General features: G+C 46.1%; 1 protein-coding gene and 1 long non-coding RNA gene across 5 annotated transcripts in view; one reads left to right on the top strand and one right to left on the bottom strand.

Moving 5' to 3' along the window:
- HRH1 (histamine receptor H1) overlaps window positions 1-21,528 on the bottom strand; it is a 126,320-nt gene that overhangs the window by 42,292 nt on the left and 62,500 nt on the right. The gene's annotated exons all lie outside the window — the stretch shown is intronic.
- Window positions 1-21,528, top strand: part of LOC102723663 (uncharacterized) — a 32,484-nt gene that overhangs the window by 4,653 nt on the left and 6,303 nt on the right. The window contains exon 2 of one of the 3 annotated variants that reach the window (XR_001740596.2): window positions 3,243-3,406. This is a non-coding gene — a long non-coding RNA (uncharacterized LOC102723663). Of the gene's footprint in view, window positions 1-3,103; window positions 3,407-13,867; window positions 14,025-21,528 lie in introns of those variants that run through there. The other 2 variants (XR_001740595.2, XR_001740598.2) reach the window with 2 other exon arrangements.

Below are 21,528 nucleotides of genomic sequence, written 5' to 3'. Positions count from 1 at the left end.
TTACAGATATTTTACCACAATTAAAAATAAATAAATAAATGAGAAACTAAACAGCTCCTTAAAGCACTTTGACAAGGTCTAACATTAAAGGATTTGTCAACTTAAGGGCATCTTAAGAAGAAATCCTCCTGGGAATTCATGGTAGACTGAATGGAGGTGTCTTGTGGTAGACAGCATTGATTGAGTTGTTACACTTTAAACCAAATTTTCTTATAAACTCATATTCCCACGCCCAGATACTTTGGGGGTAGTGACTCCAGAGAGTCTATTTAACATTGAACTTGATTTCTCCTTCTCATCTCAGTTAAAGAATTGGGGATTCGTCTCTTTTATGCCCCTGGGGAAGCAGGATTCTGAATAAAACTGACTGTCTCTGTGATTGGTTTTCTTTTTTTGTTATTGACATAGAACAATCATAAAATCATGAAATGCAGCAAAATAATGTGTACATTATTATTTTACTTATATAAAACAGAGAAATGCAGGGGGAAAAAGTGAATCTTTGAGAGGTAGGCCACCCTTCCCTGGGGTTGCTATAATGAACCTCAACTTGTCTGTTCTTTAAGTTCAGCGCAGCCCGATAAAGGAGGGCAAACAAGGTTTACAAGAGGCAGCCCAACAAGAAGGGTAAAACCAGCATGATCTTCCCTGCACAGGATGACGGAAACCAATTTACCGTCTCAGCTGTGTGTCTAAGGTGCATTTTCACCTGCCGGTGTGCATGGGCAGCCCTGCAGCTCCACACCGCCTCTTGCTAGTTGCCTGCTGGAGTGGCTGCAGGCTCTGCACTGGGTTGTAGGAAACCCAAGCACCGGCAGCCTCATTCCTAAGCCCCTTGCATACCAACAAACAGGACACTGCACCTCAGCAGTACTGTTCTCACAGAGGACAGGGATTCTCAGGACAGTGATGAGGTAACCGGCCTCAGAGACAGGCGGCTTTACCAAGACTATACAGCAAGTCAGGGTTGGAGCTGACAGTGGCACTTGGGGTTTCTTAGACCCAGGTCCAATTCTTTTTGGAACGAAACAACTAACATATATAGCAGTTACCCCAGGCCAGGCGTGGTGTTAGGGGATTGATAGGTATTGTTTTATTAAAGTCCCACCACAATGCTAGGAGGTAATTACTATTACAATTACTTTTCCAGATTACTAATTGAGTCTTAGAGAGCTTAAGTAATTTGCCAAAAGTCACGGAGCTAACAAAAGGCAGAATCTGGATTTTAACCTTGGTCTGCGTGACTACTCTGTTTGTAGCCAATACTTCCTTCCTTTTTCAGAAAAATTTATTGTAAAAAAAAAAAAAAAAAAAACAACACATTAAGTTACCACAATTAAAATAAATAAGAAAGAAACTAAACAGCTCCTTAAAGCATTTTGACAAGGTCTAACATTAAAGGATTTGTCAATTTAAGGTCATCTTAGGAAGAAATCTTCCTGGGAATTCAGGGTAGACTGAATGGACGTGTCTTGCAGCAGATACCAGTGCATTGATTGAATTGTTACACATTAAATTAAATTTTCTTTCCTTTTTTTTTTTTTTTTTTTTGAGATGAAGTCTCAACTCTTATTGCCCGAGCTGGAGTGCAGTGGCATAAACTCAGTTCACTGCAAGCTCCACCTCCCGGGTCCAAGCGATTCTCCTGCTTCAGCCTCCCAAGTAGCTAGGACTGCAGGCACACACCACCATTCCCAGCTAATTTTTGTATTTTTAGTAGAGACGGGGGTTTCACTATGTTGGCCAGGCTGGTTTTGAACTCCTGACCTCGTGCTCCGCCCGCCTCGGCCTCCCAAAGTGCTGGGATTACAGGCATGAGCCACCGTGCCCAGCCTATTTATTTTTAACTGTGGCAAAATACCTACACTAAAACACTTACCACTTTAACCATTTTACATGCACAGTTCAATGATACTAACTACATTCACAACCACGCAACCATGAACTCATCGCCACCATCCATCTCCAGAATTCTTATAATAATCCATTAATTCATGTGCTAGGTTTGTATGGTTTTCTGGAGTCACTGCTCCCTGAGGTATTTAGACATGGCAATATGAATTTATAAGAAAATTTAGGCCAGGCGCGGTCGCTCACTCCTGTAATCCCAGCACTTTAAGAGGCTGAGGTGGGTGGATCACGAGGTCAGGAGTTCAAGACCAGCCTGGCCAACATAGTGAAACCCTGTCTCTACTAAAAATACAAAAAATTAGCTGGGCATGGTAGCTTATGCCTGTAATCCCAGCTACTCAGAGGCTGAGGCAGGAAAATTGCTTGAACCTAGGAGGTGGAGGTTGCAGTGAGCCGAGATCACGCCACGGCACTCCAGCCTGGGCAACAGAGCAAGACTCTGTCTCCAAAAATAAATAAATAAATAAGTAAATAAACAAGGCTGGGCACAGTGGCTCACGCCTGTAATCCCAGCACTTTGGGAGGCCGAGGCGGGCAGATCACCTGAGGTCAGGAGTTTGAGACCAGCCTGGGCAACATGGTGAAACCCCATCTCTATGAAAAATACAAAAAATTAGCTGGGCGTGGTGGCCCACGCTATAATCCCAGCTACTCAGGAGACTGAGGCAGGAGAATCACTTGAACTTGGGAGGTGGAGGCTGCAGTGAGCCGAGATCATGCCACTGCACTCCAGTCTGGGCGACAGAGCAAGCCTCCATCTCAAGAATAAATAAATAAATGAGAAAGAGAACTTTGCTGTGTGCTCCTCATATGTGTCCCATCCCACCCATGGCCCCCACAAGAAACCACTGTCCTGACTTTTAAGGAATCACTCTTGTGTCTTTTAATTTTTTTTTTTTTTTTTTTTGAGATGGAGTCTCACTCTGTTGCCTAGGTTGGAGTGCGGTAGCACAATCTCAGCTCACTGCAAGCTCCGCCTCCCGGGTTCAAGCTATTCTCCTGCCTCAGCCTCCTGAGTAGCTGGGACTACAGGCACCTGCCACCACGCCTGGCTAATTTTTTTTGTATTTTTAACAGAGACGGGGTTTCACCATATTGGCCAGGCTGGTCTCGAACTCCTGACCTTGTGATCCACCCGCCTTGGCCTCCCAAAGTGCTGGGATTACAGGCGTGAGCCACCGCGCCTGGCCTTAAAATTGTTTTCTTACTCAAATGTACATACCTAGATACTACATTCTTGATCATTTGAAAAATTTGCTGCCTTTTAATTCTTTTTAAATTTGTGAGTTCCTCATTCATCCTTTTATTTCCTTATACTTTTTCCTTGAAAGAATCTGGAAGTTTGACTGTTGCATCTCCCTTGGCCTGACATTGCTGACTGCACACTCGAGGTTCTGTTCAACACACTGCTCTGTCCTGTGATCGTCCTGTGAATTGCCAGCTGAATCCAGAGACTGGCTCAGGCTCAGGATTGATCCCTTTGGTCAGACTGCAGGTGGGGCTTGGCTTCTCTAGGTGGTATATAATGTCTGTTTGTCTCATTTTCTAATAATCTTAGCAGCTGTTATACTTAATACCTATATCTATTCCTCTGTTCTCTTAAAAATTCTAATTGTGTAAAATATATATAATACAGAATTTACCATTTTAACCATTTTAAAGTGTACAGATCAGCAATGTTAAGTACATTCATATTGTTGTGCAACCAATCTCCAGAACTCTCTTTATCTTGTAAAACTGAAACTCTATATTTACTGAACAACTCTCCATTTCTCCCTCCCTCAACCCCTGGCACTCACCATTCCACTTCCTTTTTCTTTTTTTTTGAGACCAAGTCTCGCTCTGTCACCCAAGCTGGAGTGCAATGGCGCCATCTCGGCTCACTGCAACCTCCGCCTGCCGGGTTCAAGTGATTCTCCTGCCTCAGCCTCCTGAGTAGCTGAGATTACAGGCACCTGCCATCATGCCGGGATAATTTTTGTATTTTTGTAGAGACAGGGTTTCACTATGTTGGCCAGGCTGGTCTTGAACTCCTGACCTCAGGTGATCCGCCTGCCTCAGCCCTCCAAAGGGCTGGGATTACAGGTGTGAGCCACTGCGCCTGGCCCCACTTTGTTTTTCTTTCTGTTTTTTTTTTTTTGGTTTTGTTTGTTTGTGTGTTTGTTTTTGGAGACGGACTCTCCCTCTGTTGCCCAGGCTGGGGTGCAGTGGCGCAATCTTGGCTCACTGTAACCTCCGCCTCCTGGGTTCAAGCAATTCTGCTGCCTCAGCCTCCTGAGTAGCTGGGACTACAGGCGTACCTCACCAAGCCTGGCTAATTTTTTTGTATTTTTAGTAGAGATGGAGTTTCACCGTGTTGCCCAGGCTGCTTTTGAACTCCTGAGCTCAGGCAATCTGCCCGCCTCGGCCTCCCAAAGTGCTGGGATTACAGGCATGAGCCACCACACCCGGCCTGTTTTTTGGTCTTTTTTTTTTGAGACAGAATCTAGCTTTGTCACCCAGGCTGGTGTGCAGTGGTACAACCTCGGCTCCCTGCAACCTCCACCTCCTGGCTTCAAGTGATTCTCCTGCCTCAGCCTCCCAAGTAGCTGGGATCACAGGCACATGCCAGCATGTCCAGCTAAGTTTTTGTATTTTTAGTACAGACGGGATTTCAGTATGTTACCCAGACTGGTCTTGAACTCTTGACCTCAAGAGATCCACCTGCCTCGGTCTCCCAAAGTGCTTGGATTACAGGCATGAGCCACTGCACCTGGTCTCCACTTTCTGTCTCCATGAGTTTGAGTACGCCAGGGACCTCATATAGGCAGATTCATATACTACGTGCCCTTTTGTGACTGGCTGATTTATCTTAGCATAACGTCCTCAGGTTTCATCCACGCTGTAGCATATCACAGGATTTCCTTTCTTTTGGATGCTGAATAATATTTTATTGTATGAATACGCCACATTTTGTGTATCCATTCATCCTCTGATGGACACTGGCTGCTTCCACTCTTCGGCTGCTGTGAATAATGCTGCTATGAACATGGGTGTATATAGACGTCTCTTCAAGACCCTGCTTTCAATTCTTTCGGGTATATACTGAGAAACGGAATTGTTGGGTGGCATGGTAATTCTATGTTTAATTTTTTGAGGAGCTGCCATACTGTTTTCCATAGTGGCTGCACCATTTTAGATTCTCATCCTTTATGCTCTTTTAATGTTCATTTCCACCACTCACCATTCAGGGAGTGTTCAGGGCCCTCGACTAACCATATTGGGATCCAAAAGGTAATGTTCCCTCTAATAGTCCCAAACTGGGAACTACATGCAAGTCCAGTAACAGGGGATCCATTAAATCATAGATCCCTAACATGGAATCCCACGTAGCCATTTAAAATATTGTTGGGAAGAGTATTTGATGACATGAAAAGATGTCTCTAATACTTGTTTAAGTTAAAAAAAAAAGGAGGCTACAAAACAGAATGTGTATGTGTAGGGTAAATCCATAGTTTTAGTAAAAAGACAACTGTGTATTAGTAGGAAGAGCTGTCTTAACTGACCTTCACTTAACTGATTCACTGAATTAGTCAAAGTCCCTCACCCCTGCCACTTGTAAAACACAGTGACCCGGCTGGGCGCGGTGGCTCACGCCTGTAATCCCAGCACTCTGAGAGGCCGAGGCGGGCGGATCACGAGGTCAGGAGATCAAGACCATCCTGGCTAACACAGTGAAACCCTGTCTCTACTAAAAAATACAAAAAATTAGCCAGGTGTAGTGGCAGGCGCCTGTGGTCCCAGCTACTTGGGAGGCTGAGGCAGGAGAATGGCGTCAGCCTGGGAGGCAGAGCTTGCAGTGAGCTGAGATCGTGCCACTGCACTCCAGCCTGGGCGATAGAGCGAGACTCTATCTCAAAAAAAATCAAAAACAAAACAAAAAAAACCCAAAAACACAGTGCCCCAATAGCTTTCGTTTTTACACCTTCTGCTCCCAACTATTCAGTTGTACAATGAGTAAGAGTCACCTTAGTCCCAAGTTAGTTGTTTCCAAACTTGTTTATTCTAGTTGTATTATATATGGTAAGAATGAATTACACATGACACAATAAGGTGAAATATGAGTGCAAAAAGTCTCCATGGGAGCAAAGTCAAATATTTGGAGAAGATGCCTTAAACAAGTGTTAAATTACAGGTGGATCAGACAAGGGTAAAAGCCTGGGACACCACCTCTTGGAGGGGAACTATCTTTCTGAGTTATCACCTAGAGTGCCAATTCTTTTCACCTTTATTGTCCTGAATTTTCACAGCTCTCCATGGTAAGCGATCAGCCATGTCATAGTCACCAACTATGTAGAGTCAAGAGACTATTTTTATTCTGTTGCAAACCTTCAGGTCAGCCTATTATAGGTATCTATAGAATTCATTCCTGCAGTGGCAAATATGTGGCATTTGTCCTACCATTCTCCCATCCTAAACCCATGGCTGATATCATGAACCCATCACCAGATTTTATCCTGCTAAATCCACACTGTAGTATCAGAACTCTCTGGTTAGCCACAACAAATCAACTGGGGATGACATGTCATGTGACATGAAACCTATGCTGCCTCCCCAACCTCCTCAGGTTACAGAAGGCTTTAAAAAAATCAGGTAGAAAATTAAACATATACAAAGTGTCTAAAGTCCTGGCCCCTGGGCCCCTGGACTGAATATACTGTTTTATACATGGTAAGCATTCAGTGTTCATTGAATGAATGAATGAATGAATGAATGACAATGCATGGTCTCCTGCTTTCCAAAGCTCACCATTCAGTCTTTCTCCCTCGCATCATCCTTCTTAGTTTCCCCTGACACCTGTGCTCTGAATTTCCTCCCAGTCTATAGGACAGCAGAAGGCCACAGTGCCCAGAAATCCCACCATTACCGACTGGTTTCTTTTGGATGTGATATCCCATTCAGAGTTATTTGCAGGTGACCTCAATACCAGAATCATAAACAACTAATAACTTCTGCCTCTCTTCAGGAAGGCTGTGACTTGCCAACAAAATGATTCCCAGAAGACTGCGTTACTAACTGTGAAGCACTCTGCCCCAGGAAGGGGGCTGTAAATCAGACTTCTTGTTTTATTTCACTGCTGTACAGCTTTTGGAAAGCACCGACCAGCCTCTCTTCTTCCAGAAAGGAAAAAAATGCTTCCATCTCCTTATTCTGCTTTCCCCTCCCCCTCCTGTTTGCAGCCTCTGGAGTTCAGGGAACATATCTGACCTGTCCCTGAACATTCTCCCTTCTGCCTCTTTGTTCGCGCTGTTCCATCTTCCCATACCACCCTTCCACAAACCCCACGCTGACCCCCTGAGACCCTTGCCCGGCCCCAGGCCCACCTCAGATGCCACCCGCCAAGGAGCCTTCCCTCATTCCAACCACCTGGGTAGAAAACCTGCCATCTCTTTACGTGATAGTCCTTTGGAAGCACCTTCGATTTTATTTAGCACATTCTACCTTATTTTGCTGGTCTAAAGCAGTAAGAGTCCAGGGCAGCCACCGTTTATCGAGAGCTTTGAGTGTGCCAGTCACCATGCAAAGGACTTACATGCCATTATGGTTTGAATGTTTGTGTCTCTCCAAAATTCATGTTGGAGCTTTGGGAGGTGATTAGGCTATGAGGGCTCCACCCTCGTGAATGGGATTAATGCCCTCATAAGGGAGGCTCCAGAGAGCTGCCTGGCTCTTCTGTCTTTTCTGTCATGTGAGAACACATTGTCCCTTCCACCTCTTCCATCACAGGAGGACACCTAGATGGCACCATTTATGAGGAAGGAACCCTCCCTACACACTTAACCTGCTGGCACCTTGATCTTGGACTTTCTAGGCTTCAGAGGAAATGAGTTTCTGTACTTTATAAATTATCCAGTCTCGGGTATTTTATTAAAGCTTACAAACAGACTTGTATTATCTCCTTTATCTTGCAAACCTCTATAGCCATGTCCATTTTATTGAGGCTCAGAGATGCTAAGGAGCCCAAGGTCACACAGCTAGTAAGGAACAGGTCCAGGCATTCATTCATTAATGAATTCATTAATTCGTTCAATCAACCAATCTTTACTTATTTATTAAAGGCCTATAATGTGCTAGTCAAAGTCTAGATGTTGGGAAAATAACAGTAATCAAGTCAAAGTGCTCGTCCACAAGGAGCTACCATTCTAGCGGAAGAAACATATCCTAAAGAAAAATACAAGTCAATAAATACTGTGTCAGGTGGTGATAAATGCTATGGGGAAGAAAGAGGGTTAGTGATGGCTGAAGTGGGTCTGCTGTTTATATAGGGTGGTCAAGGTGATCTGGCAACATTTGAGCGGAGATCTAAAGGAAATGAGTCATGCAGAGATCTGCAGGAAAAAACATCACAGGAGGTGGGAACAGCCTATGCAAAGGCCCTGGGGTGGGCACATCTATGGTATGTTGGAGAGGCAGCGAGGAGTTTAGTGTGGCTGGAGCTGAGTGAGTGAGGGGAGATAAACTTAGGTGACAGGGGTTAGATCACGGAGGGCCTCGTGGTCATGGCAGGAACTTCGGTTTTGACTTTGATGAAACAGGGAGCCACTAAAGGACAACTCCCAGAACCCATGTCCTTAATTGCTATGCTATACTACTGATGGATTACGTGAATGAATGCCGAAAGGTACTTGTGGACTTTTTCTCATTAAAACCAGCAGGATGGTGGCCCAGAGAGTCTAGAAACAACGCATGGAAGGGCAAGATGTGAGTTAACAAGGAGGGCTAATTAGGAAGGGGGAAAAGTGCCCATTGCCTTGGTTGCCGGGAGTCTCTGAGGCTCCCACAGCACAGGACTGTGTAGGGCCCCGTGATAGCCCCAGTGGGTCCTCTACCTGGATTTGCAGAGTAGATTTTCCAGGCCTGCCCCAGATGGGTCTCAGCCCTTCCATGAAATATGTCCTTTGCTAACAAGAGGCAGTGAGAAAAAGCCAACGTCTGCAATGACTCACCAGAGAGAAATGAAAATTGTGCCCAGACTGGAAAAGAACCCATCTGAAAGTGACACATTTGCCTCCAAAATATATATACATATATATAAAGCTTTTTCTTTTCTTTTTCCTTCTCATTTGAAGGAAGGCAGAGCCTTCTCACATACACTGCCTCACAGCAGGAAAATCTACTCTGCAAACTTCTGAAATTCCTGTCCTTATTCCTGTCGCAATTCTATGAGGCAAAAGGATATCATATCTGGGGAGGTGGCCATTTCACGGCAGGACAGCAAGCGTGTGCCCTGGCATTCCCAGGACAATCCCAATAGCAAATATTCTTCTGATTGGCTGCCCCCCTCCCCCAGCCCCACTGCCAACTAACCAGCTATTCTGACTTGGGAGTGCGTACGTTAAAATGCAGATTCTGGGAACTCTGATTCAGGAGGTCTGGGAGGAAGCCCGGACACTGCACTTCAAATAGAGAACCTCCAATGATTCTGATACAGCCTGTCTAAGAAACGCTTCTCCAAACCACAGGAATAGTCCCAGTAGCCCTAGCCTTCTGCATCTATGCTTAAAGGATGAAGTGACTCCAATCCTTTCTCAGACCACAGGGAGGCACATTTTAGCTCCTGGCAGAGGTCAGAATGCTCCTGGCCAAATCAGAGTGGTGGAGAATCTTGAAATCCCAGTCCTTGCCCCTGTCCATTCCAACTCTCTTCATTTATCTTCCTGACTTGAGCTTCTGGACTCTGCCGAGCATTTGCTCTCTGGGTCATAGCCAGGAAGGCCCCGGTGCTGAGGCATGGAGCTGCCCTGGGTCTTGGATACAAGCCACAGCTGGAGAGGGGGTCAGACCTTGCCTAAGCCTCTGATCATGAAGTATAACAGAAATGCCTAATTGTGATTATGAAACACTGTTTCACGTCTTAATTTGTTGAAGTTACATGTTGACAGTAGGTACTGCCTTAGCAGGTGGAAACAAAAGGGTCCTACATCTATTATTACTGTAATTTACTGGAATAAGGAGCCACCAGATGCAGCCCTGGCTCACACCCCTTCCTCATGAATTACAAAGCTGGTCTGAGGGCCCTGTCAGTTGCTGGCTTTGGGCACCAACATTGCTAATTAAAATCTTCCTGTGGTGCACTCCACTTTGTTGAGATCTCTGCTCAGATGCCATCTTCCTTACCCACTGGTCTAAATGACTCTCTTCCCCAGTGCCCTTCTCTTGTTATTTCTAACCTCTTAGCCTACTTTATTTTCCTTCAGAGCATCCACCACTACTTGAATTACAAATTGATTTATTTGCTTGCTACTTTATCATCTGCCTTAATCCATCTAGAAGGTAAGTTCTTTAAGAGCTATGACGTTGTCATGTTCAACACTGTATTTTGATGCCTTGCACATAACAGGCACTCAACTGATAGTTGCTGAATGAATCAATCAATGATAAATGAATGAATGTTACAATGTTCTGAGGGCCCTGGAGTCATGTCTAACTGCATGATGCTCTACTTATTGGATCCAGTGGTCTTTGCGGACTAAGCAGATACACAAAAAATAACAACAGCTGCTTTTTTTTTTTTTTTCTTTTGAGACAGGATCTTGCTCTGTTGCATAGGCTGGAGTGCAGTGGCACAATCTTGGTTCACTGCAACCTCTGCCTCCCGAGCTCAAGCAATCCTCCCACCTTGGCCTCCCCGGTAGCTGGGACTGTGAATGCGCACCACCACACCTGACTAATTTTTGTATTTTTTGGTAGAGATGGGGTTTCACCGCATTGCCCAGGCTGGCCTCAAACACCTGGGCTCAAATGATCCGCCTGCCTTGGGCTCCCAGAGTGCTGGGATTACGGGTGTGAGCCTCCGCACCCAGCCAATAGCTGTTTTATTTAGTGCTTACTATGTACTGGGTGTACACACCATCTCATTTTATCCTCAGAGTAGTTTTGCAAGGTCGGGATTATTAACCCCATTTATTTATTTATTTTTTTGAGACAGGGTCTCGTTTTGTCACCCAGGCTGGATACACTGGCACGTTCAATAGTTCACGGCAGCCTCGACCTCCCGGGCTCAAGCAACTCTCCCATCTCAGCATCCCGAGTAGCTGAGACCACAGGTACTCACCACCATGCCCAGCTAATTTTTGTATCTTTTTTGGTAGAGACAGGGTTTCACCATGTTGCCCAGGTTGCTCTGAACTCCTGGGCTCAAGTGATCTGCCTGCCTCAGCCTGCCAAAGTGCTGGGATTACAGGCATGAGCCACTGCATGTGGCCCTATTAACTCCACATAAGAGATATAAAAACCAATGACAAAGTCACCCAGCCAGTAAGGGAAGAGGCGGAATTCAAACTTAAGTCATTTAATGCCAAGGTCTTCACTGTGTCTCACGACAACTGCATTTGATGCGATCTAACTTGTGTTGACACTGGGATAGGATCCAGAGACAAGCAAGACAAGGTCCCTAATGCCAGAAGTTCAGGGTCTATCTCGGCAGCACAGCAGAATAAGGATGAGCAAGCAATTAGAATTCACCTCCACATCCGAGCCTCATCCTGTACTAGCTGAGCCTCAGCTCCCTCCTCTGTAAAATAGAGTACTAATTCACCAAAATAATGGAGCCATAAGTCATCAGTCCTCTGCTATGTGAGGACACAGCAAGAAGGCAGCCACCTGCAAGCGAGAAGAGGCCCTACACCAGAGCCTGGCCATGGTGGCACCCTGATCTCAGACTTCCAGCCACCAGACCTGTGAGAAATCAATGTTTGCTGTTAAGGCTGCCTAGTCCATGACATTTTGTTATATATAGCAGCCTGAACTAAAACAGTAGTGATTCTGGAAGTCAGGTCTACTAGCCAAACACTGTGAACCACCGATACATTTAATTCCATTACACAGATCCAAAGTAGTTTTATTATCAAACTAAAGGTACAAAGAAAAGAGTCAAGAATCTCTAGGCAATTAAAAATTAGCATCACAATCTAGGTGCGGTGGCTCATGCCCATAATCCCAGTATTTAGGATTCCCAGTACTGGGGAGGCTGAGGCGGGAGGATCACTTGAGGCCAGGAGTTCAAGATCAGCCTGGGCAATAGAGCAAGAACCTACCTCTACAAAAAATATAAAAACTAGTCAGGCATCGTGGCATAAGCCTGTAGTCCCCACTACTTGGGAGGCTAAGGTGGGAGGATTGCTTGAGCCCAGTTATTTGAGACTGCAGTGAGCTATAATCATACTACTGCACTCCAGCCTGGACAGCAGAGCAAGACTCTTAAAAAAATTACCATCACAAATCAATTATGTTCAAATCTCTCTGTTAATAAGTATTTCTTGATTGGGCTGTTTAGATTTTAGCATCTACGTGGGCAATACAAGGCAGTTGAGGGTGAAGGAAACTGGCATCTCATGGCTGGGGTGATGCAAATTATTACTCTCTGTGGGCAGTTTTGTAGCTTTTACTCAAAATCTTTAAAATGTACATATTCTTTGGCTCTGCAGTTCTACTTCTGAGAATCTTTCATCCCACAGGGTACAAAAAGATGTTCACCATAGTGTTATTTTTATTACTGGAAAGTGGGACACAATATAAACAGCAGTCATTACGGGACTGGTCCCATGTTAGCACACAAGAACACCGGGATGGTATACAGCGATTAATAATCATGTGGCTTTCTCTGCTGACATGGGAAAGTGTCCATAATAGTTTGTCAAATTAAGAAGATGACAAAACGGTACATAATCATATTTCTGTAACATCGTATGTATGGGTGTGTATGCTTGCAGAAAAGTCTACAAAAATATTCCCTGGATTGTTCACAGTGGCTTTATCTTGGTAGAAGGATTTCAAGTGATATTTTTTCAAACTTTTGATTTAACAGATAGTATTGTGTTAGGAAGCTAAGCAAAAAAACCCTCAAAAAACAAAAAACTAGAGTGGCCAGGAGTGGTGGCTCATGCCTGTAATTCCAGCACTTTGGGAGGCCAAGGCGGGTAGATCGCTTGAGCTCAGAAGTTGGAGACCAGCCTGGCCAACATGGCGAAACTGTCTCTACAAAAAAATACAAAAATTAGCTGGGCGCAGTGGTACATGTCTGGAATTTCAGCTACTTGGGAGGCTGAGTCATGAGAATCACTTGAACCTGGGAGGCAGAGGTCACAGTGAGCCAAGATTGCACCACTGCACTCCAGCCTGGGTGACAGAGTGAGAGCCTGTCTCAAAAAAAAAAAAAAAAAGAAAAAACTGGAGTCAATCTAAAATTGCTTTAAAGAAAAGTGTTGAGGAAATAATAGAACAGGCAGGAAAGAGATGTGAGAAAATGGCAAAGGGGAGTGTGAAAGTTTGGCAAACACAGTTTTAAATTCTTCATCCTGCTCTTGCGTGGAAAGACTGTCTGCTCTTGCTTCTAAGTGATAAACATCTTAGTGGGAAAACCTCTTCCTTTTATTTACCCATTGACCCAGTTTTGGTGGTCAATGACGCCCGCCCTTCCTGACAGATGTTGGGGCATGGGCCAGACAGGCCCGCTGGGTACACAAGGATGCCCGCTCTTCTCCCTTGATCCTGCAGTGGCTCCCTAGGGCCTCCAAGTAGGGGGAGTAGTTCTGTTGATGGAGGGGTCACTATGTACAAAGACTGAGCTGAAATTTCTTGCACACCTTCTCAGAATCACCCTAGGAGGGAAGCTTTTTGAATGACCCCATTTTATTGAAAAAGAAACTAAGGCTCACAGAGGTCAAGGGTCTTGTCCAAGATCACACAGCAAGTAAGCGAAGGACCTCACGCTCCAGTTCAGGTCGGCCTCTTTCTTTTGTTTTTTTGAGACAGAGTCTCGCTCTGTCGCCCAGGCTGGAGTGCAGTGGCATGATCTCGGCTCACTGCAAGCTCCGCCTCCCAGGTTCACGCCATTCTCCTGCCTCAGCCTCCTGAGCAGCTAGGACTACAGGCGCCGCCACCACACCCGGCTAATTTTTTGTATTTTTTTTTTAAGTAGAGACGGGGTTTCACCGTGTTAGCCAGGATCGTCTGGATCTCCTGACCTCGTGATCCACCCGCCTTGGCCTCCCAAAGTGCTAGGATTACAGGCGTGGGACACCGTGCCCAGCCCAGGTCAGCCTGTTTCTAGGACCCATCACTCTGAACCTCTAGTAAGTTCTGCCTGAGCCTGGCCTTCAGGGCTGAGCATGACCTGGCTTCTGTCTACCTTTCCCGCCTTCCCCTCCCACTGCTGCCCCCTGCCCACCATCAACCCTCAGACCCCAAACTTCAATATACCCCAGTATCTCACACCTCCATGCCACTGCACCTGCTGTGCCCTCCCTGAAGCCCATTCCACTGCAAACCTCCAGAGACTTCCATCCGTCCTTCAACTCTCAGACCGAGTGTGCCCTTCTCTGTAATCCCTCCTTCCTTGACTCCACCCCGATAAGACAAAAGCCCTCCTCAGACCTCCCCACACTCCTCCTCCAGCTTCCCCCTCCTCAGCTCTCCCACCCTATTCCGTCATTGACTTTCCCTTGTCTGTCCCTTTCCACAGGTCCTTGTGCCCTTCGAGGGTGCAGACGGTGGTCTCTGCATCTCCTTTGCTCCACGTGCCAGGCACAGGTGCCTGGGAACTACAGAAGAGGTTGAATAGAAGGCTTAACAATGAGTTTGGAAGTCAGGCACAGAGGGTTTGACTTCCGGGGGCACCCCTTGCCAGCTGTATGACCCTGGCAAGTCACTCTTCCTTTCTGCGCCTTGGTCCCTGCATCTATAAATTGCTGTAAGGATGAAATTACATAATTATAGGTAAAGCACCTGGCACAGTGAACAGTCCACAAATCTTAGCTATAATAACAATGACGTCAGTTAAGTAACTCACTTAGAAACAACACTGGCCACTGAAGTGGAGGGCCAGTGAAGTGGAGTCAAGTGCTGGGAGGAAGTCCAGGCCAGCAGGCCAACTTTGGTATACAAAGATGTGAAAACACGCTTGGCGTGGTGGCTCACGCCTGTAATCCCAGCACTTCGGAAGGCCGAAGCAGGCAGATCACCTGAGGTCAGGAGTTCCAGACCAGCCTGGCCAAGATGGCGAAACTCTGTCTCTACTAAAAATATAAAAATTAGCCAGGCGTGTTGGCGTGTGCCTGTAGTCCCGGCTACTCCTCGGGAGGCTGAGGCAGGAGAATCACTTGAACCTGGGAGGCAGAAGTTGCAGTGGGCCGAGATTGCACCATTGCACTCCAGCCTGGGTGACAGAGCAAGACCCTGTCTCAAAACAAAAAAACAAAGATGTGAAAACAGCCAACCACCAGGTGGCAATCCATGCAAGAGCCCAGCTGCCGGGTGTGCCCCAGCTTCAAGCCAGACAGACCTCAGACATCCAGGGCCTGGGGAAGGTCCAGCCCCAAATGGCAGCCATCTGATAGCAGCAAAAGAAAACCTGTGGGCCAGGCGCGGTGGCTCACGCCTGTAATCTCAGCACTTTGGGAGGCCGCGGCGGGCGGATCACGAGGTCAGGAGTTCAAGACCAGCTTGGCCAATATGGTGAAACCCCATCTCTACTAAAAATACAAAAATTAACTGGGTGTGGTGGCGCATGCCTGTAGTCCCAGCTACTCAAGAGGCTGAGGCAGAAGAATCACTTGAATCTGGGAGGCGGAGGTTACAGTGAGCCGAGATAGTGCCGCTGCACTCCAGCCTGGGCAACAGAACGAGACTGTCTCAAAAAAAAAAAAAAAGAAAACCTGTGAACCTGGGGGCTGGGGAACAGAGCTCTTGCCCATGCGAAACATGGGGTGCTGGGAGAGCTCATGAAAATGTACATCATTCATGTGCCATGCGCTTGCTGAGTACTTCCCATGCATAATTCAATTTCAGCCTCATGGCAGCCTTTCTCAGTTGATGTTGTTATCCCAGTTCAGAGAGGAGTAAACTGAGGCCCAGAGAAGTTAAAAAACTTGCCCAAGGACATACAGCTAGTGAGTGGTGGAGCTGGGATTTGAACCCAGGCAGTCTGTTTCCAGAGAACTGCTTCAGGCCCTCCTGCCCCTATCAAGAGGCCAGGGCAGGGCAGAGCCTACAGGTGGGACTCCAGGGGTCCAGAGCTGGATGATCTACACACAGGGGATCACATGATGCAAGCAGTTTCCGTACAATGCGTTCTATTTAGGGTGGGTTGTCCTTCTCCAGAAGGAAGAATTTCTCCCTGGAGACTGGCCAGATGCAGCCTGGTGGGTGGCAGTGCATACATTCCCATCTCCTCAGACCTACCTACCAAGAACAGCCGCGCTGATGAGAGTCCTGTGTCACTGGCGAAATTGCTTCCAAATTGCCTTCTTCATTAACTGTGCAAATTTGCATCTTAATTAGGCTTAATGGAATACAATTACCAGACCCCACGTTTCTCTCTCTGATTTCAAGCAAGGATGCCACAGAGACAGGCCAGAAGCCAAAAACGTGGGGCTGGAGGGAGCCTGGTTGGGCTCTCCCTGCAGGAAACCTCGCATCTGGGAAAGGAGGGGCCAGGCGCTACCCAGCGGGGACTGCACCTGGTACATCCAGGCTCCTGAACTGAGGAGACCATGGGATTTGGAATCAAGCTTTGGGAAGCCTGCCTCTGCCTCTGACCAGTGGAGGACTGACCCTTTCTGAGCCTCTGTTTTCTCATTTGTAAATTGGAGATGGTGATAACATTTACTATGGGGTAGCTGCAGGGATCAAAGGTGATCGCGTGTGTGTTAGCACCTGGTAAAGCACCTAACACGTAGTTTGTTCTCTTTCTCCATGCCCTCCCTTTTTGAGGCCTACAAGGTTGTGCAGAGCTGATCCCGGCCTTCCCCTTCGGTGATTCAGTGAGCGTCAGCTTATTTCATCCTCCCTTCCATGCTCTGGCCATACACACTTCTGAGTCCTGGGAAGGCTCTAAGCTCCTTCCTGTCTTGTGAGCTTTTCAAGTGCTATTCCCTCTGCTTGGAACACCTGACCCCTGGTTAGTACCTACTCATCCTTCCAATCTCAGCTCAAACAGCACTGTCTCCAGGAAGCCTTCCCTAGCCCCAGAATAAACTCTCCTAACATCATTTATCTATGGGATTATTTAATATGTGTCCCTCTCTCTCCCACAGACAGTAAGCTCCATGAGTGCAGAGAACACTTCTATTGTGTTCTCTGTTGCATCTCCAGCTCCTGGTTCAGGGCTTATCACATAGTAGGTCCCATTCATGTCTGTTTAATGGATGGATATGAACATCCCACTGAGCCTCAGCGAATGTCAAGTGGGAGCCATAATCTCATCCTTATGGTGCTGTGAAATCATTAAATGATTTTTGGCACACAGTAGGTGTTTGACGAATGAGATACCTATTCTCCCATTCCTTTCAATTAAGGAAAAGTTAGAAGCAGGCATATAGGTAGCTTAAAGGACAGCATGTTCATGGATAGGAACCCCCAATATTGTCTAGATGTCAGTTTTTACCAACTTGATTTATAGATTTAATGCAACCCCAATCAAAATTCCAGCAAGTTATTTTGTGGATATAAGCAAACTGATTATGAAGTTTATATGGAGAGCAAAAGACCCAGAATAACCAACACAATATTGAGGGAGAAGAGCAAAGTTGGCAGACTGACACTACCCAACTTTAAGACTTACTATAAAGCTACAGTAATTAATATGGTATTGGTGAAACAATAAACAGAGTAATGGAACAGAATCCAGAATCCAGAGATAAATCGACATAAATACAGTCAAGTTGTTTTTGACAAAAGGGCAAAGTCAATACAATGGAGAAAAATTCTTTTCAGCAAATGGTGCTGGAACAACTGGACATCCACATGCAAAAAAGTACATCTAGATACAGACCTTACACCCTTCAGACAAAGTAACTCAAAATGGACCATAAGCCTAAGCATAAAACCAAAATTATAAAACTCCTAGAAGATAACACAGGAGAAAACCTGGATGACCTTGGGTTGGCAATGACTTTTTAGATACAATACCAAAGGCATGCTCCTTGAAAGAAATAATTAATTGAGAAGCCAGAAGGCAAAATGGTACAGCCATTTTGGAAGACAGTTTGGCCGTTTCTCACAAAACTAAATATACTCTTACCATACCATGCAGCAATTATACTCCTTGGTGTTTACCCAAGACTTGAAAACTTGTGTCTACACAAAAATCTGCACGAGTGTTTAAAGCAGCTTTATTTTTATTTATAATTGCCAAAGCTTGGAGGCAAGTAAGATGTCCTTTGGTAAGTGAATGGGTAAACTATGGTTCATCCAGATAATGAGATACTATTCAATGTTAAAAATAAATAAGCTATCAAGCCATGGGGAGAGATGGAGGAAACTGACATGCATACTATTAAGTGAAAGAAGCCCATCTGAAAACGCTACGTACTATATGGTTCCAACTGTATGACGTCCTGGAAAAGGCAAAACTTTGGAAACAGTAAAAAGATCAATGGTTAGCAGGATTTGGGCAGGGGAAGGGATGAATAGGCAGATCACAGATGATTTTTAGGAGAGTAAAAAATGCACGGTATTAGAATGATGGATACATATTATCCATTTGTCCAAACCCACAGAAAGTGCAACATCAAGAGGGAGCCCTCATGGAAACTGTGGCTCTGGGTGACAATGATGTGTCATGTAGGCTCATCCGTGGTAACAAATGCACCACTCTGTGGGGATGTTGACAGTGCAGGGGACTGTGCATATGTGAGGACAGAGGGTACATGTAAATCTCTATATCTTCAGCAGAATTTTGCTGTGACCCTAAGACTGCTTGAAGAAAAATAAAGTCTTCGTTAAAACAAAACAAAACATCTTGGCTAGGGGATGGAGGAGGGTGGGGGCCAGGAGGTCAATACCACATAGGGTCAGGATGCTAAAAGCTGGAAGAAGTCTTAGAAATCATCTAGTTAAAGTGGCTCCCAAACAAAGGTTCCCTTTATTTTTAATTAATTATTTATTTATTTATTTATTTATTTATTTATTGAGATGGAGTCTTGCTCTGTCACCCAGGCTGGAGTGCAGTGGTGTGATCTTGGCTCACTGCAACCTCTGCCTCTTGGGTTCAAGTGATTCTCCTGCCTCAGCCTCCCGAGTAGCTGGGATTACAAGGCGCTCACCACCACACCGGGCCAATTTTTGTATTTTTAGTAGAGACAGGGTTTCGCCATGTTGGCCAGGCTGGTCATGAACTCCTGACCTCACATGATCTGCCCCCCTTGGCCTCCCAAAGTGTTGGGATTACAGGCGTGAGCTACAGCGGCCAGCCTCAAAGTTTCCTTTTAATCTTTCCTTTTATTAGAAATTAGAAATAATTTTATCTACCGCAAAACTCAACCGTATGTATTAAGGAAGAATCCATTTTCCCCACCTCTGAATTACCCCAAGACCTCCAGCTCTTCAGTCCTGGTGCCTGCCCCGGTGAGGGGGGAGTATGTGGAGACAGCCAGCCCAGGCAATTTGGCAAAACAAGAGACTGCCCAACACTGCCACAGGCCTGGGCGGCAGACAAATGATTTCCTTTAACTTCTCGGAAAAGTTAACAATAGCCTGGACTTCACAGAGAGGGGCAAGGTCCCCGCTTTTATTTTTCCCAGCTGGACATGCTTCCTGTGAGCAACTCAGCAGGCACTTGGCAAGGCCCAGACAGGCTAGCTTTCTTCCTGGGCATGTCCCCCTTGAGGGTGTGGCAACAGCCCTGGTGACACCTGGAATTTTCAGACAGCCCTTCTCCGACTAGTCTAAGGATATGCTGTTTTTTCAGCCTGTTTCTTGGAACCCCATGTTTAACCTCAGGTCCTTATGAACCTCTGCAGAGGTTTCCCTCACTCTGATCCCCACTGTTAGGCACACACCCCAAAGCATCCAGGACACAGTGACTTCCTCTTAGCTCCTCTCCCTCATGTCTTTCTCTGCCCCTCCCACTGCCCTCTACCGTCCCCCAAGTCTAGTCTCTCTGCTTTGCTCTGGTTGCACCATTACTCACCATCCCATAATACCCCGTGCCCTTTCAGACTTTGGAGCTTGTGCACATGCTGTCCCCTTTGCCTATGAAAGGGCTTCCTCCATCTGAGCACCTGGCAAACTTCCATACAAGCAGGGCAAGTCAAATCCTTCTCCTGCACATCAGAGGCTTGCCTCTGTCAGCCCCTCTCTGGCCGTAGGGCAATTGGTTTATGTGCACTCTGCTTCCCCTTCTAGACTGAGGGGATCCTCTGAGAAAGATGGCATGTTTCCTCTGTTTGAGCTCCAGTTTGGACAGGGCCAGTAAGCAGCAGCGGGCCTCTGGATACCTTTCTCTAGCGAATCCACTGATAGATCCCCGAAAACTGCACACAGCATTTTGAGGGCAGGGGCATCTTTCTGAGGAGAGGCCCTCAAAGGGATCTATTCCCCCTTAAAAAACAAAGAATTCTACTCTAGACCCTCAGCATCTTAATGGAAGGGGATATGTCTAATCTTTTCCTCTATTTCACAGCTCTGCACATAGTAGGCCATTACTATAAAATGATATTAAGTCATGGAGTTTTTTTGAGCTGGTGATCTAGTCCAGCCTTCCCATTTCCCAGATGAAGGAGCTGAGCCCCAGAGCAGGGAAATGCCTTACTCATTTGTAAGCCAAATGGAATGATCAGGGGAAATGACTTTCTGCGTAAGGGTTAGGTAATGGTCATATATTAATATTAATTTCCTCACCCTTCCATGTATTCCCTAATCAGTTTTCAAGTTTCTACTCTGTGCGAGGTATAAGTGTGGGGATGCAGAAATGAACAGCACATAGTTCCTGCTCTTGGAGAGCTCACAAGCTGCAGGAAGAGATGAATGCCTGGATCATGGAGAAGCTAGACAGAGGAGGGAGGAATGATTTCCTGGCCTGGCCTCTAGGAAGCTTTGTGGAGAAGTGGCATCCAAGCTGTGCACAAAGGATGTCCCAGGCTCTTCAACGGCAGAGCTGAGCCCATGTCCCTGCTGTATTCTCCAAACAGTCACAGACCATATGGTCTCTCTATGGCATAGAGTAGTCATTAGGATGATCTAGGCTGTGAGTAACAGAAAACCCCAACTCACTTGGCTTATGTAATAAGGAAATGTATACTCCCTCTAATGAGAAGTCCCAAGTTAGGGCAGCTCCAGGGCTGGTTAGTTTCACACCTTAAAGACATCATCAGGGACTCCTATCCTTTCCATCTTTGGTTCTGCCATTCTCTGCATCTGTCAGTCGTGTCCTCAAACCAGATTGCCTCCTGGTTGCAAGATGGCTGCCACAGCCCCGGAGGTCACACCCAGACACAACAATATCCAAGGATCTTTCTCTCTGCATCTCTTTCTTAAGATCAAGGAGAATTTTTCTAGAGGCACCTGGACCCCAGCCTCACCAACCTCCCACATGTGTCATGTCCACTACTGAACAAATCACCAGCAACAGGATTAGGTTTCCCATGATGGGCTGAGCTGAGAATGGGGTCACCTTCTCTGAAGGGTAGTTACCTGAACAAGATGAAGCTTCTATTAACCAGGAGGCAGGGGAATGGCTGCCAACTGTGACTATCATATGAACCAACCCAAATGACCATTTCTCAGGTTCCTCATCTGGGGAGCACCTGAAATGGAGCCAGCAACGTGGTCAACTGTACATCTCTTCAGCCAAGCATG

The sequence above is a fragment of the Homo sapiens genome, chromosome 3, assembly GCF_000001405.40.
Source record: "Homo sapiens chromosome 3, GRCh38.p14 Primary Assembly".
NCBI lineage: Eukaryota > Metazoa > Chordata > Mammalia > Primates > Hominidae > Homo > Homo sapiens.
Note: the sequence above shows the minus strand (reverse complement) of the source record. Positions and strands in the feature narration are given on the sequence as shown.